Source organism: Homo sapiens, chromosome 18 (assembly GCF_000001405.40).
Source record: "Homo sapiens chromosome 18, GRCh38.p14 Primary Assembly".
NCBI classification, from domain to species: domain Eukaryota; kingdom Metazoa; phylum Chordata; class Mammalia; order Primates; family Hominidae; genus Homo; species Homo sapiens.
Window position 1 is genome coordinate 49,888,968 of NC_000018.10, and position 14,650 is coordinate 49,903,617.

General features: G+C 47.7%; 1 protein-coding gene across 1 annotated transcript in view, besides 1 other annotated feature; it reads right to left on the minus strand.

The window, feature by feature from the left end:
* The window catches only part of MYO5B (myosin VB), a 372,359-nt gene that overhangs the window by 66,179 nt on the left and 291,530 nt on the right, over nt 1–14,650 (minus strand). Inside the window, exons 21-22 of the mRNA NM_001080467.3 lie at nt 13,627–13,866; nt 5,974–6,207 (exon numbers count right to left, since the gene is read on the minus strand). Coding sequence (NP_001073936.1) covers nt 5,974–6,207; nt 13,627–13,866 — 474 coding nt within the window. The remainder of the gene's footprint in view (nt 1–5,973; nt 6,208–13,626; nt 13,867–14,650) is intronic.
* Nucleotides 9,512–9,806: a silencer, noted in NCBI's record as "tiled region #7262; HepG2 Repressive non-DNase unmatched - State 10:DNaseD, and K562 Repressive DNase unmatched - State 9:DNaseU". NCBI's record gives its function as "represses a minimal TATA promoter and a strong SV40 promoter by Sharpr-MPRA in HepG2 and K562 cells {active_cell/tissue: HepG2 | K562}" and the evidence as "EXISTENCE:reporter gene assay evidence [ECO:0000049][PMID:27701403]".

Here is a 14,650-nt window from a genome sequence, read left to right on the forward strand (position 1 = left end):
GGACCAGAGTCCTCAACGTGGACCTAGGGATTATATCGCCAGACTATCACACCCTCAGAACCCAGGCCACCGCCAGCACCTGAAAGCTTATCAAATGAATAGAAGGGCCCTGCAGACCAAGTTAAGGAGCCTGCATTCCCTCAGTCACAACTAAGGGCTCCCTTTAAAATTGTTTTTTTAAATAAATGTGTTTATAGTTGACCAAAATATCTAGAATACATGAGCTTGTTTAATCAAATAATTCAATTTAGGCAGCACATACAATGTAGGAAAACACTCTTCAAATGCATCTAATTTGCTATTGCTGGAGGCAGTTCACTCAATGACTTCAGGAGCACCTTTAAATTAGGTTGGCAAATTATCAAAATAGATTTCACTTTTCTAGACATACAAGTAAAATCAAACTGAAAACAACCCAACAGGAGAAACCACATGGTATGTACTTCTACAGAATAAAGCCTAGGGTGGTGCAATGAAGCATGATCTATGTCACAGTTAGGAAGGCAGGGGTCTTGCCCCATCCTGCCAGGAACAAGGCTGTACCCTCTGAATCAGTCAACTACTGGTAGGTTTTACAGCAGGCTGTGAAGTAACCAGACCTTACCATGGAGCAAAACTTTGCTTCTCCTTAACATTCTCCTAATATCTAGATGGCTCACAGAGCAGTAGGTCACCTGAGAAGACCAAGACCCCTCGCCATCCTTTGAGCATCCTACACACAGTCAATATCCCTCTGAAATGGAACATGCCATCTGACCAGCACAGAGCGCATGACATCATCACCAAGTGGGTCCTGAAATCTCCAGTCCTATGAATGCCACCTAAGAACATGTGACTTCATTGCAACAACCTATGATCTAAAACCTGAGCCAAGGCTACAGTCTGGGAGTGCCATGGTTAACAGCATGTATGCCACCTACACCTCCTATTGTTTTGAGGCTTGTTGCTTCCCTCTGTCTCCCTCTTTGATTCATGAATGCAGGTCTCTGACTTGGCTTTATTATTCTAAGCCATACATTAAAGTGGCCTCAGGGGGATTTACTTTTCTTGCTTGCCTAAACAATTTTGGAGGTAGGCCCATGTTCCTGATCTTTCATGAACAGCAGGAAAGGACCAATCCCACACTCAGCTCCACACCCCAGGTGGGTGAGAGAATGCTTCCTTGATCATATTTCTCCAGGTACCAGCCAACCCCAGTCTTCCCAGCCAGCTAACACAGCTGTTGGCAGACACAGCAGGTAACAAACTTCTGCAGCCAAATGGCCCCCACTTTGTGGTGTCAGGGCTGCAGGGTGCAGTGGGAGATGCTTTAACAACATAAAACAGGTGGCTGCATCCCCTGAGCATGATAAATAACACCTTAGGTTTCAGGACTCATTCAACACCATTCAGCAGCTCCTTTTTTTGGACTGGGGGAGTGGTTAGTCTTAACTCTTGCAGGCAACATTACTCAGTGTTTCTTCTAAAAGCTTATTTGGGACAGCTTATCAGAATCAACACTGGAGGAAAATCCTGTATCTATGAGGCTAATACAGTACCTATATTAAGTTAAGTAAATGCCCCAGCAACATGCTAAAGAACTGTCTTTACTAGTTTGTCTTTGGGGATACAAATGTAGCTAGGGGCTTTGTTTTGTCTTATGTTTTCAAGAGGGATATTAGTACTATAAGAAGACCCAGCGCAAGGTTTCTAGTAGCAAACATGGGAAAACTGGTTGGACAATGCCAATCAGAAAAGGTTCCTCTGCCATCTGTCCTTGATGCTGTGCAGTTACCACATTTACAGGCACAGCCCTAGGTAGGGACAATACCTTTAATTCTGCAAAATCTTGAAGTGTTTATTTGACCATTTTCTGAGAATGTTCTTCTAAGTAAGCATAGTATAAATTTGTTTTTTAAAGTAGTGATTAAAGCAAAAGTTGAAAATCAACATCCCTTGGATAGTAAGACAACTTTGAAACAATGGCTAAAATATCTTCAAAATGGTCCTGCAGATGTGTTTTAATTCCTCTCTCACCCCTAAGCTCACAGAAGCTGAAGTGCCTAGGACAGAGTTGCTCATCTCTCTGGAGGTTTCATGGGTCAAGGCCGCGCTTGAAGTCAGAAGATCCTTCCTGACCTGGCCGCACTGTGCTCCTGCTGTTTGCCTCCTCACTTACTCCACCTGAGCCCAGTGAGCACCTCATTGGTCCTCACACCCACCCAGCCTACTCATGCCCCAAGGCCTGTGCACGTGTGCCACACCTGTCACCTGTTATCCCCAAATCGCCTTGGCTTATCTTCTCCCCTTACTCAGATGTCTTCTCAGAAAGACCTTCTGTGGCCATCAAAAGTGAAATCATACCCCTCAGGCCCCCACAGGTCACCCTCCATCCCCTTTACTCTGCTTCATTGTTGTTTGTAGCCCTTGGGGGGTAATTCACGTTAGATTCCTCTCTGTACTTTCTTCCCCCATCCCCACACATTTAAGCTCCTTAAGAACGAGAAGGGTTTTTTCAAACACCATTCACCTTTTGCCCCAGTGTGTAGAACAGGGTCTAACACATACAGGCATTCAAACACCTGCTGAATGAAGGACCATGAGCTTCTGTGCTTTCTGCAGCAAGACAACGTCCTTCCAGAGATGGGTCAGTGTCCCCTTCCTAATAATCCTCAGCCTCCACATGAACCATGAGTCCTGGTGCTGCTGAGAGCACAACCCCCTCTTGGCTGGTCAAAGTAGCTCTGCTCCACACCTTTGGGGAGAAGGCTCAACACACTCTGCTATGAGAGCCCCCATTCCCCAAGCCAGATCTCTCTACCTCTATTTGGAGAAATCAAAACCTTTATAACTTGAACTACCCAAGGCAATCAACTAGTGGCTAGTGGTTCTATGACTGATGTCTTGATACAATGCACAACCCAGCCCCACTAGTCCGAATGTTCAGTGCCTGGGGGCCTGCTAGTCATCTCTCACAAGGACCAGGGACCCCCTCTGAGAGCCAGGCACCTGGCTGTGGGTGGTTCCTCCTCACCCACCACAGCCCTGCACCAAGTAAGCCTTGCTCTGGTCCCATTGAGCAGCCTTCAGAGCAGATTCTGAATAATGAGCTGTCACCTCTGTGCCTAGGGCAGCCCTGGGGGCCACCTCTCTTTCACCAAACAGAGCAGCCATGCAAAACAGCACAGCTGTACAAAAGCAGCCGGCATAGGGATCGCTGAAGCTTTCAAAAAGAACGAAATGTACACAATGCACAGGCTAAAAGGGAAGGAGGCTAAGGGCCTGGGTGTGGACTACCCCGTGGAAGCGCCAAAACAACAGATACCTTTAGTAGAAAAGGATGTCATCTAACCTATGCGACAGAGCTGCTCTGGACTCTGTGGACAGAGAGATGAATTCCTGCCCTCGGGGAGACTTGGCCTCCCACAGGCCAAGGCAGGGCAGCCACGTGGCCCACCAATTAATATCGTCAGAGATGGCAAGCCCAGAGTTTTCCAGCATAGCAGTTCCAATACGACACTCGCTGCCTTTGCTGATGGAAATATCAAACTCATTAAACATCTACTAGCAGTCGGCCCCCTCACTGTGCTTGGCTGGTCTCATCAATCTCGCTCAAAGCAGAGCAGGCCCCTGCTCAAGCCTTGGAGGAAACCAATTGTCTGATTACTCAGCATTTATTGAAATTGACACAGTGCCTTTGATAAATATTATACCCTGAGGAGGCACAGAAGACAAAACAAAAAAAAGCCAGCCAGCTCATCTACCTACCTCCAACCACCACAACAAAAAGATTCTGAAGATTCTAAAGAATGTTTGCTTCCACTTTTTCTTTTCCAGGAAAGAGGTGGACATGCCACTTCATGAGTCATCTCCTGTTGGTTTCTGAGTGTTTCTAAGTTGGAATTTGCTTACATTTGGGGTAGGGAAGGGGCTTTTGCACTACTCTGCTCCTAGCGTTCCCCTCCTTGCAGCGTCCTTAATTTTTTGTTACCAATTCCAAGCTCTAATTTTCTTTAAGACCTAGGTCAGCATATCATTGCTAGGGAAGAGTAGCAACATTTCTTAAGGAGAGGAGGAGGGAGTCTGCTTCTCTGTTTTGCTCCTCCAATGAAGATTTTCATATTATAAACTCTTATGCACTCCCTTTGATGGAGACTTGGGTGTTTAGAGTGCTGAAGTCCCCAAGTTGTAGCATTTAGCAGGAAGCAGGGACGCGGGGCTGGGAAGCTGATGAGTCAAGTGCTATCTGTTGGGACAGAGATAGGTGAGACCTGATTTTGTGGATCTGCTGGGTAAACAGACTTTGCAGATGTCTCATCTGACTGGGACACACATGCAGGGAATGTTTTTTCTCCCAGGGTCACTAGTCTCAGGAGTTTCCAGTTCTATTCTTGATCCTTTCTGGCTTTGGACCTCACCTTCTGGTTTTTATTCATGTAGAAAGGTCACCATCCCATTCATCTGCTCCCAAGGGTAGACAAACCACAAGTGTGGTATTCCATGATTTGTAGGTTACAAGACTTGTAGACACATTTAACAGGAGTTTCCAAGCACCACGTGCTTTCTCCCAAAGAATGAATCCACTTCATGTCTCATGGTGGGCAGGCTGGCAGGTGACTTATCTGGGCAGAGGGTCCTGTGGGCAGAGGGCCCTCAAAGCAGCACATCAGGAGTGTGGCCTTTTATGGGAAGCCTGCGTCTTACTTTCTTCTTCCCTTAATCTCCACACCTGGATCCCACCTCTGGCCCCTGGAGATCCCTGGGGTCTGGGTGAAGGCAGGAGCTGATGGTGCTGAGGCCCGAGGTGGGAAGAAGATCTATGCAAGCCCAGCACATGCTGGCACTGTAGGCTCTATAACCTCCACGGATGTCTGTGTGTTCCTCAGCTGCATGTGAAGGCTCAGGCCAGGAAAAGGCAGTGGGAAATAGAAGAGAGAAGGACTCCCACGTAGGGCCAAGGGCCTCTGCTCCTTCCAGAAGCCAAACACAATCTCATGGTGGCAGCCAGGTGCAAGTCTAGAAGGGGCCTTGGAGATGATCTGAACCAACTTTTATAAATATACACACAGATGAGGGAACTAAGGCCAGTGAGGCTTTCTGCACATGCTTGGGAATGGCAGAGTGGGGATGGGAATCTGGGGACTCCAAGGTCTACCGCAGGGCCCTTCCTGCAGCAGCATCCAGCCTGCCCCAATTTTGAAGTTGTTACTCCAACACCCTGAACACTGGATCTCTCCCTCTTAGATCCCCATCCACTGCAACTCCCCATTGATGGACAAACACTGAAAAAGCGGGCAACATGCTATTTCCCTTGTGGCTTGTAGAGATGGTGGTGGGAGGGGGGGCGGTGGTGGGAGGCAGAACAGCAATGACCCAAGTCTGTGGGGGGGTCTCCAGGGGCCCTTGGGACTTCCCTGGCTGGAACAGTTATCTTGGCAGTGGAGCAGGGAATCTCTATGCCCTGATGCTCAGGTTTGGGGCAAAGCTCAGGAAGTTCTATTTCATGGTGTAAGAAATAAGCCCACCAGGGTGGGTGTGACAGGCTGAGACTTTAAGTGTTCAAAGGTGAGGCACCTCCACCAAAGCACAGTGCTGCATCATGGGCAAGGGTGCCCAGAAGCTGCCCTCCCCTGCAGGCAGCATCAAGATCAGCCCCAGCCTCTGTCACGGCTTTCTTGCCAACAAGGATGCGGGCCACAGAGCCAGCCCTGGGCCTAATTCTAGACCATAAAAACAATGCTCACAGGCAGACACCATGTGCCCCTCCCAGGGGATGCCATAGTGTCCAGCTAACAGCAGAAGCGCAGTCATGCTTGTGTGGGTTTCCCCAAAGCATGCCACTTTCTGTCTAGACACAGATGAATGGTCAGTCTGTGCACATGAGCCCAAGACCATGGCAATTTTACCACTTGAAGCAGCAGTGCTCTCTGAGAGGTGGCTCCGTGTGCCCACCCACTCTGCTTGCCAGCGCCTGCCCCTCTGGCCTGAGCATACCTTCCTCAGCTCATCTTTCTCCCTGCTGTGGGCGTCCTCCAAGATCTTGCGCTCCGAGTGGGCCCTCTGCAGCTCTGTGCGCAGGCTCTCCACCTCCTCCTGCAGCCTGAGGCTGGTGTCCTCACCTGGGCTCTGCTGGTAGTGCACCAGCTCCTTCTTCAGCCGCTCTACCTCCATGGTGTATGTTGAGGTGGTCACGGACAACTGCTCTGAAAGTGTCTTGAACTCTTTGTTCTGTGGAGAACATCAGCAAACAAGGAGAAGGGAGAAGAAGTGGGGGAAGAAAAGGTTATTTTACCAGGGAAAAAGCATGAAGGCAATCAAAAAAGGAACTTCCAAGGTAGGATTAAGTCTCACAATCATTGCATGCTCAAGTGCTTGCCTGGCATCTCCCTAACAAAACACTAATGTAAACTTACAGAAATAGAGGAAAACAAAGAACAGCAACACTGACATTCAAAGAGCTCAAGGAGCTTTCGTGAGCATGTGCAGAGCTGGAAGCTGCCTGGTAGCAGGTGGCTTTATGGCTGGGTGGATCCTATACCTTATTTTTAAGTTGCAGAAACAAAGAAGCTGGCTCTCTGGGTTTGCAGCCTTCACTTTTTAGGTTTCTTTGCTCTTTCATACAGAGCCCTCCTGCCTGTGGACTTGCCAGCACAAAGAGTTGCAATCTAATCGCTGGCTTTGAGACAAAGGACCCCTTCAGCATCCTCTCTTCCAAGGAGGCCCTCCATGGGGTCTTGGAATCTCTCTCACCCCTGTCAGCCATGGCTTGCCCCATAAGACTCTAAGACTCAGGGAACTGATGCCCTGACCCACCCTGCCCAAACCATGCTCCTGCAGATGGGATACTCAATCCCAGCCCACTCAGGCAACACACAGGTGTGAAACAGCCCCCATGGGCCCAGAGCCCTAAGAAGCTATTGCTGGTATCAAGTGCTACTGCAAATTATGGGAAGAAATCAGCACCGCAAGAGTTGAGGGCATTAGCTAAGAGTGGTCAGTGAGGAAAGTGGAGAGGAAGAAATAGGGCTCTCCAAATCATCAAGCAGGCAACAATGGTCATTGATTATTCTTCATTGCTCTGGTCTGTAGGAGCGCCAGGCAGAACAGAGCTAGCGGCCAAATCACCGATAAGCTGGAGCATCAGGAATCAATGACTAATTCACATAAGAAATTAAACTTCACAGAAAACAGTGAAGAGCAGCAAAAGAAAAGCCCTTGGACCCTGTAAAATGCCACAGATGCTGTGGGGCCTTGTGGTTGTGACCAGTACGGCAATGCACAAGCCACCAGTCCATTTCCTGCACCAACACAACAGAATGAGACATGCTACCCGCTCCCCAGCACTCTGTGGGAACCTCCCAGTTACAACCTGACACACCTTCAAGCCTGGTCTGCCTGCAGCCTTGATCTAAGGCATCACAAAGAAGAAATCCAATCAAGCAGATTCTATTTGAACACCGAATGCACGTCTGTATTATCCACTCCAGTCTGGGTCTCCACTGGAGGCTGAGGGTCTCTGCACAGAGGAGTAGGGCACAGGGAGGGAACACATGCTGGAGTAGCCACCCTCTGACTTCATCTCTGCTCTGGGCTGGACATGAGGTTTGGCCCAGCTGCTCTCTCTAGATGGCACAGCCTGGGTCAAATCACTAGGAGTGGAAGGATAACTAGGCAGGAGGTCTCTAGGTAGAGCTTGTTGGAGTATGAAGAGAGGCACGCATGGTAACAGGAGGCACATCCTATCCTGCTATTGACAAAGATGGCACCTCAGGACTCTAATGCGAAGTATGATGTATCCAGGAGGCCCAGCTGCATTGATCTTGACACCGCCTGAGACCTGGCTCAGGGATGTCAGGGAGTTGAGTGGCTGGAGCTGGACAGACATGTGCTCAGATCCCAGCTCTATCCTTGATCAGCTGTGTACATCCAACCTAATCAACCAACCTTTCTGTGCCCCAGTGTCCTCATGTGTAAAACAGGAATATAATAGTAACTCCTGCCTCAGAGGGTGGTTATCAAGATTAGGGAGATAAAGTACTTTGCTAGGGGCTCAGTAAACATCAGCTATCTTCCTTGTTCAAGTTCTCTATGGAGAACCCTGGAGAGTTGCCCGAGTCTCTGGCTGTCTGGGGTGTGGGTGGGGAGCTCCTATGTCTTTTCATGGGCATCCAGATATTGTCACTGGGGGCTTGTGGAGGCGGTGCATTTTCTGTTCTGGACATCTGACTTCAGAAGGACAGGCCCCAGAAGGCTCGTCCTTGCACCTGCAGGTGTCACAGCCATGCAGCCAAGCCTGGCAGAGGGCAGGGCATGGGGTGCCCACACCCTCGGAGACCCCAGAAACCCTCCCTGCCATGTTACTGCCCTGAAGACCTTCCAGTGGAACAAGATATGGAGGTGGAAGGCAGTGATACTGACGATCCTGACCTTGTGTGTGTCTAGGCTAATGAATGTATCCGTGTCTTAGTTTTTAACAAAAAAAAGTAAAAAAAAATTTTTAAACTTAATTTTTAATTTTCCTGGGTACATAGTAGGTGTGTATATGTATGGGGTATATAAAATGTTTTGATAGATATGCAATGTGAAATAAGCACATCATGAAGAATGGGATACCCCAAAAATAAATTTTAAAAATAGAAAAAAGCTTACAGAATAAGGATATCAAGAAATAAAAAATTTTTGTAGAGTTGTACATGTTTGTGTTTTAAGCTAAGCCTTATTACAAAGAAGCCACAAGTTAAAAGTATTATTTATAAAGTAAAAATATTACAGTACTCCAAGGTTAATTATTGAAGAAAAGCAATTTTCTAGTAAGCTTAGTGTAGCCTAAGTGTACGGCTTATAAAGTCTACAGGAGTGGACAGTTTATAAAGTCGATAGGAGTGGACAGTTTATAAAGTCTACAGGAGTGGAAAGTAATGTCCTGGACCTTCACATTCACTCACCCTACACATCTTCCAGGCCTGCAAGCCCCATTCATGGTAAGTGCCCTATACGGGTGTGCCATCTTTTACACCATATTTTTATTATCCCTTCTCTATGTTTAGATACGTTTAGATACACAAATATCATTGTGTTACACCTGCCTATGATATTCAGTACAGTAACATGCTGTACAGGTTTGTAGCCTAGGAACAATAGGCTATGCCACATAGCCTAGGTGTGTAGCAGGCTACACCATCTAGGTTTGTGTAAGCGAAATCTATGATGTTCACACAACTACAAACTCACCTAACGATGCATTTCTCATAAGGTACCCCTGTCATTAACAGATGCATGACTGTATATGACATATATGCATGATTACATATAACGAATTTAACATATTTACAAAGTGACTACTAAGTATATGGAATCAAATTGATTTAAAAGGCTACTGACTCCATATATTTGTGTCATATTTCTCATATAAAATATATTTAAGGATAACCTTATATTCATAAGTGTCTAAGGAACTTTACTCTCATTATAAATAAATTGTAAGTTAAACTGGCCAACTCTAAATGTGTGCTTGACTAAAGTTAGGCTGGCAGAGAGCCGAGTTCACGGACTACATCGTTTTACTGAATGACGTCATACCACAGCCTATCCCAGGGACACTGCAAGAAATGGTCTCAAGAACCAGCATTGTATATATCACCGTAGGATATGGTGAAGGATGTGGCTTGTCACGTCACAGATTATGAAAGCCCACAGGAAAAACAAGTCAGCACCACGGACAGCTCCAAATCCTCTTGAACTGCATGGTTCTTTTCTATTAAGAACTCTCAAGCCACTCAGTTTTCTTCCTGTTACTGTTTGCATAGAAACTTGGTGCCAAATTTGCATCTTTTCTTTCCAGGTGGGTGTACAAGGCCTTAGGATATGAATGTTGGGTGCTAGCCTTACCCTGGTTTTATCTTTGTTTCCTCCCTTACTGACTTCTTGGCAGTGAGGATACATTTTTAGAAAAAAGCTCCCCAGGGGATTCTAGAGCACAGTCTGGGGATAGGAACCCTACTCTAGCCAGATCATGGTTATCAGTGAATTTTTGAGCTAGATGTTACCTTAGAGATCTCAGGCGAATCCCCTTGGAAGAACTAAAGCCCCAATCATTTCCAAGCTATCAGCTCTGGTTGTGAATACAACTGAGACAGAACCCAGGCCTCTGTCCAGTGGGCACTCTGTCTACTCCCTATGCTGTTCTCACAAATACCTTGGGACACCTTCACCTGTGGTGTCCTTGGTGTTCGCAGATCCTCCCCTTCTGGCTTAGAAACCTTGTGTGACCAGAGGACCACTGCCTAAGTTGTCTCCAGGAATTATAGGAAAAAAAAAATTCACTTGCAAACAGCTGGCCCCATCTGCTAAGAGATTGCAATGAAACAAGCCCCTATATAGAGCTCTAATGGAGATTATGTCAATGCTTCCTCTTGTAACAGAGTGTCAAGCATGTTATTTGACACTGGGTCACACTCCCCACTTTAAATGCCAGCCGGTCCCAAGCAAGGACAATGCTATCTGTATGAGCATGAACCCAAACTAAGGCTAAGAGTCTCCCTTGGACTGAGGAGTTCTCCTGACATGTTCCAAGAGTCTCCCAATAGCTAAATATCTTATAGCTTGGTCAGAGGTGGCAGAACATACCCTGAAACCAGCCTGACAGGTTTCAATCCCAGCCATGCTACTTACTAGCTGTGTGACCTCAGTCAAGCTACTTAACCTCTGTGTGCCTCAGTTTCTTCATCCTTAAAATGGGAATAATATTAATGTTTATCTCCTAGGGTTCTGGTGGGGATTAAATGAGTTAATACGTGAGAAGAGCACAGCGTGCCTAGTCAGGTAGTGCAGGCAAGGGCACAAGAAAGCAAGAGCTTATCCACTCCTCCCGTCTTTTCTGATCACCCTCTACACACAGGGCATCCTGCCCAGGGTAGCTAACACCTGCCACCACTCACAGATGTTTGCCAAGCAGGAAGCTTAAGGCAAAAAGCTTTTTTTATTTTTTTTTTAAATAGGCCATTTAAATCTGCTTTTCTTTGATTTTTCAAGCACGTGGATTGTAAAATGCTAGATTTATTTTTATCCTCTCAAGTTAACTTTAGAAATCAGCAATGCCAATGCAGAGCCCCAAGGCTGGAAAGCAAGGCCTGGGGGAGCCAGCATGTACACAGGGCTCCCAGCAGGGTGCAGCGGTCAATGCCTACTCATCCCTGAGACTGCACTCTGGCTGGAAGGTTAACTCACAACATTTGACTAAGCAAGTCTTTTCTTCCTGTCAACAGCCACAATAGCCACTGCCACCTTGGCATGCTTTGTGCTTGTGTTTTTCAAAGGGCCAGTGCCAGACAGCAGACCTTTTCCTTTGCACTCTTTTCCCTCTGAGTGGATGTGCCCTCCTCCCTGACCTGGTGTATCACAGCAGGCTGACCAGGGGCAGGCACAAGCCCTGTGCCCACCCTGTGCCTGGGCTCTCTGCTTTGCTTCCCCAGTAAGGAGCCAAGCCAAACAAGGCACCCTGTAGAACTAACACAGAGAAACACCCAGTGACAGTCTCTTCTCAGAAAGCCTTGTCTTTTGCAAGAGCACGGAAACAGAGGCATTCTATTGCTATCTCTGCACCACTTTTGGGCTCCTGTTCAGGGCAGCTGGCTTAGGTGTAAAATGCTTTTTTCCTGCCCTACTGGGTCATGAGAAGCTTTAAAAATGCCCAGTATAGAATAGATACATTAAATCCCAATGACTTACAAAGCCATACCCACTCTAAAATTCTGTTTCTCCATGCCACACACACTCTTCATGTCCTTTCCTTCCCTAGGAGGCACCCTCTGGGGCACCTCAGAAGCCTGGTTCTGTGGCCACCTCTACACCCTGCATGGACAAAGTAACAGTGGGCCTCCATTCAACTCTGGGAGCCAAACGCAGCAGTAGGCATGCACGGGAAAGGACTGAAACCCTTCAGTAATGTTTGGGGTTAAAAAACCCGCAATGCCCCCATTATGGCTGTGGGATCAGAGCTCGGGTAGGATCCTGGTCCCAGCACTTTCTATTTATGTGACTTTGGCAAGGGACTTGATGTCCCTGGCCCACCATTTCCTCATATACAAAATGATCTCACAAAATTGTATGAAGATCAAATAAGAGTGAACACAAAACACATATCGCAGAGCTTGGCACATGGCAGGTGCTTGGAAAATCCTTAGGATCAATGCTGTTCAGCCTGTTGGCATGCGATTTCCTCCCTTATGATACAGCATGCGACATACGTCACAGCCATCCTCTGTCCAGCAAGGCCAGCAAAGCACCTGAAACAGCCAGGCATCCAATAAAGGTCTTCTGAAGGGAAGGAGGACTGGCCATGTGGGCCACCAAAAAGTGGGGGTCCAGGTTTGTGCATGCATACATGTGAGCCTCGTCTATTCCATTAGACAAAGCTGAGTGTTCTGTGCTTGTCTCGAATCTCTTGTACTACGTTGTACGGTACCCAACCCCCTACAGGGATATTTAATCAATGGCTTGTTACCCCTTTGATTGGCTGACATGGGAAGGTGGCCAGGGTAGAAAGAGGACAAAGCTTAAAAATAAGAGTGCTAACCATTTTTCAAGTTTCTCCTACTGCATACCAGGCCCTGCATATGCATTAGACCATTTATTCTTCTTTCAGCCCTGTCAGCCCCATTTTATGGATAAGAAAAGAGGTTCAGAGTAGTCACATCAGCCACTCAACTTTTAAGCAGAAGAACTGAATTCTGATTTCCAAAGCAAACACTCTTTCCAAAAGAGGCAGACAGACAGATAGGCAGACAGAGAGACAGAAGGGCAAAGTGATGCAGAGCATGGGCTCTGGAGCCAGACAGCTGGGGTTCAAACCTCGGCCCTGCCACTGCCACCTGTGTGACTTTAGGATGCCATGTGCCCTTCCAGTGTCTTCAATTGTACAAAAAGGGGGATGGTAATACTTGCCGTAGGAGGGCCGCTATATTAGACAAGCTACTCCAGTCAAAGCGCCAGCCCCATACCCCACACAGCAAGCCCTCCATGCACACCAGCTGCTGCTGCATTACCCTATGTCACCCCTGCAAGGGCAAAACACCAGCACCTTGGGCTAGTGTGTCAGTTTCCTATTGCTGCTGCAACAAGTTACCACCAAGTTATGACTCAAGATAGCATAAATCATTATCTTACAGCTCTGGAGGTCAGGAGTCTGAAGGGGTTGGCACGGCTGCATTCTTTCTGGACGCTCTAGGGGAGAGTCCATGTCTTCGTCTTCTCTGGCTTCTCAAGGCTGCCTGCATCCCTCCCACCTCTGATTCTGTCATCACTTCTTCTCTGAACTTGATCCTCCAGCCTCCCTCTTAGGAGGACCCCTGTTATATCAAGCTCACCTGGCTCACCCAGGATACTCTTCCCATCCTACAGTTCTTAATTTAATTGCATCTGCAAAGTCCCTTTTGCCATATAAGGTAACACACTCACAGATCCCAGGGCTGAGGGTATCTTTAGGGGTCACTGATCTGCCTGCCACAGTTAGTATCTGCTGTGGTCTGAGGACGTCTGTGCTCCCTCGGGTCTTCGGCATGTGCAGTTCCTCAAGGAAGCTGTGGGCTCTCTCAAAATGCTCCAGTACCCAAGCCCCCGACACCCAGGTAGGGAGCTGCAGACACTGACCTGCTCATCGATCTTCCGCTGCAGCTGGACCACCTTGTTCTCCATGCCCACGTTGAGACGTTTCAGATGCTCTGCTGAGCGGGCCTCAATCCTGAGGGCCTTCAGCTCCCGCCTGGCCTTGAGCATCCGGAAGGCACACTGGATGACAATGGCTGCATCCCGCAGCCGCTGGAAGTGCCTGCGTGCCATCCAGCCCCGCACGTGCTTCTGGATGGTGGTGGCCTTGTGCTCCATGAGGACCTGGCGGGAAACAAGGATACACATCTTGTGGGTTTGCACTGCAGGACAGGAGTGAAGGAAGCATACATCACTGCCTGTGGAGGGAAGAGGCCAGGGCAGCCTTGGTTCTAGGAGTTACACAGACAATGTGCCCCCTAAGATCTAAGGCTTTGGTGGTTGTTTTATAACACATTTCAGCGAGGTTCTGCGCCTACATATCCACAGGGAATCAGCTGTCAAACTCTTTTCAGCTTTGTTTTACTTTTTGTTTTATGGGTTAGGAAACCACAGTCTGAAAACCTCAAGGTTGTAGGGGCCTAATGATCATCCACTTGCTCTCTACCCATTTACCAGGTGGAGGTCCCCTCCTGGTGGCACTGAGCTGGAAGTGAGATACTTCAGTGAGTGTCCACAGCAGGCTAATGGCTTATAATTACAAACTTGGTGTGTAATTCACTGTTTTTTTTTTTCTACCAAGTTAAAAAACCACTCAGGATATGAAAGCATCATCAGTGTGCTCGCCCTAATACCTGGTAAAATAAATGTTTGTGGAATAAATGAGTAAACAAGCAAACAGGCTGAGCAATGAACAGTGCCACAGCCATGAGTGACAGAGCTGGGAGCCACATCAGTGCTCACTCTTTGCACATGCTGCCCCTGCTGAGAAACTCCCAAACATCACCTGCCCCTTCCATGGGAGCAGCACACCAACGCCACCCATCACCCAAGAACACTCACAGAACCTTCTCCCAATGGCCTGGGTTTCTCTACATACTACACCAGGGTGTGCTCCACCCTGACCACA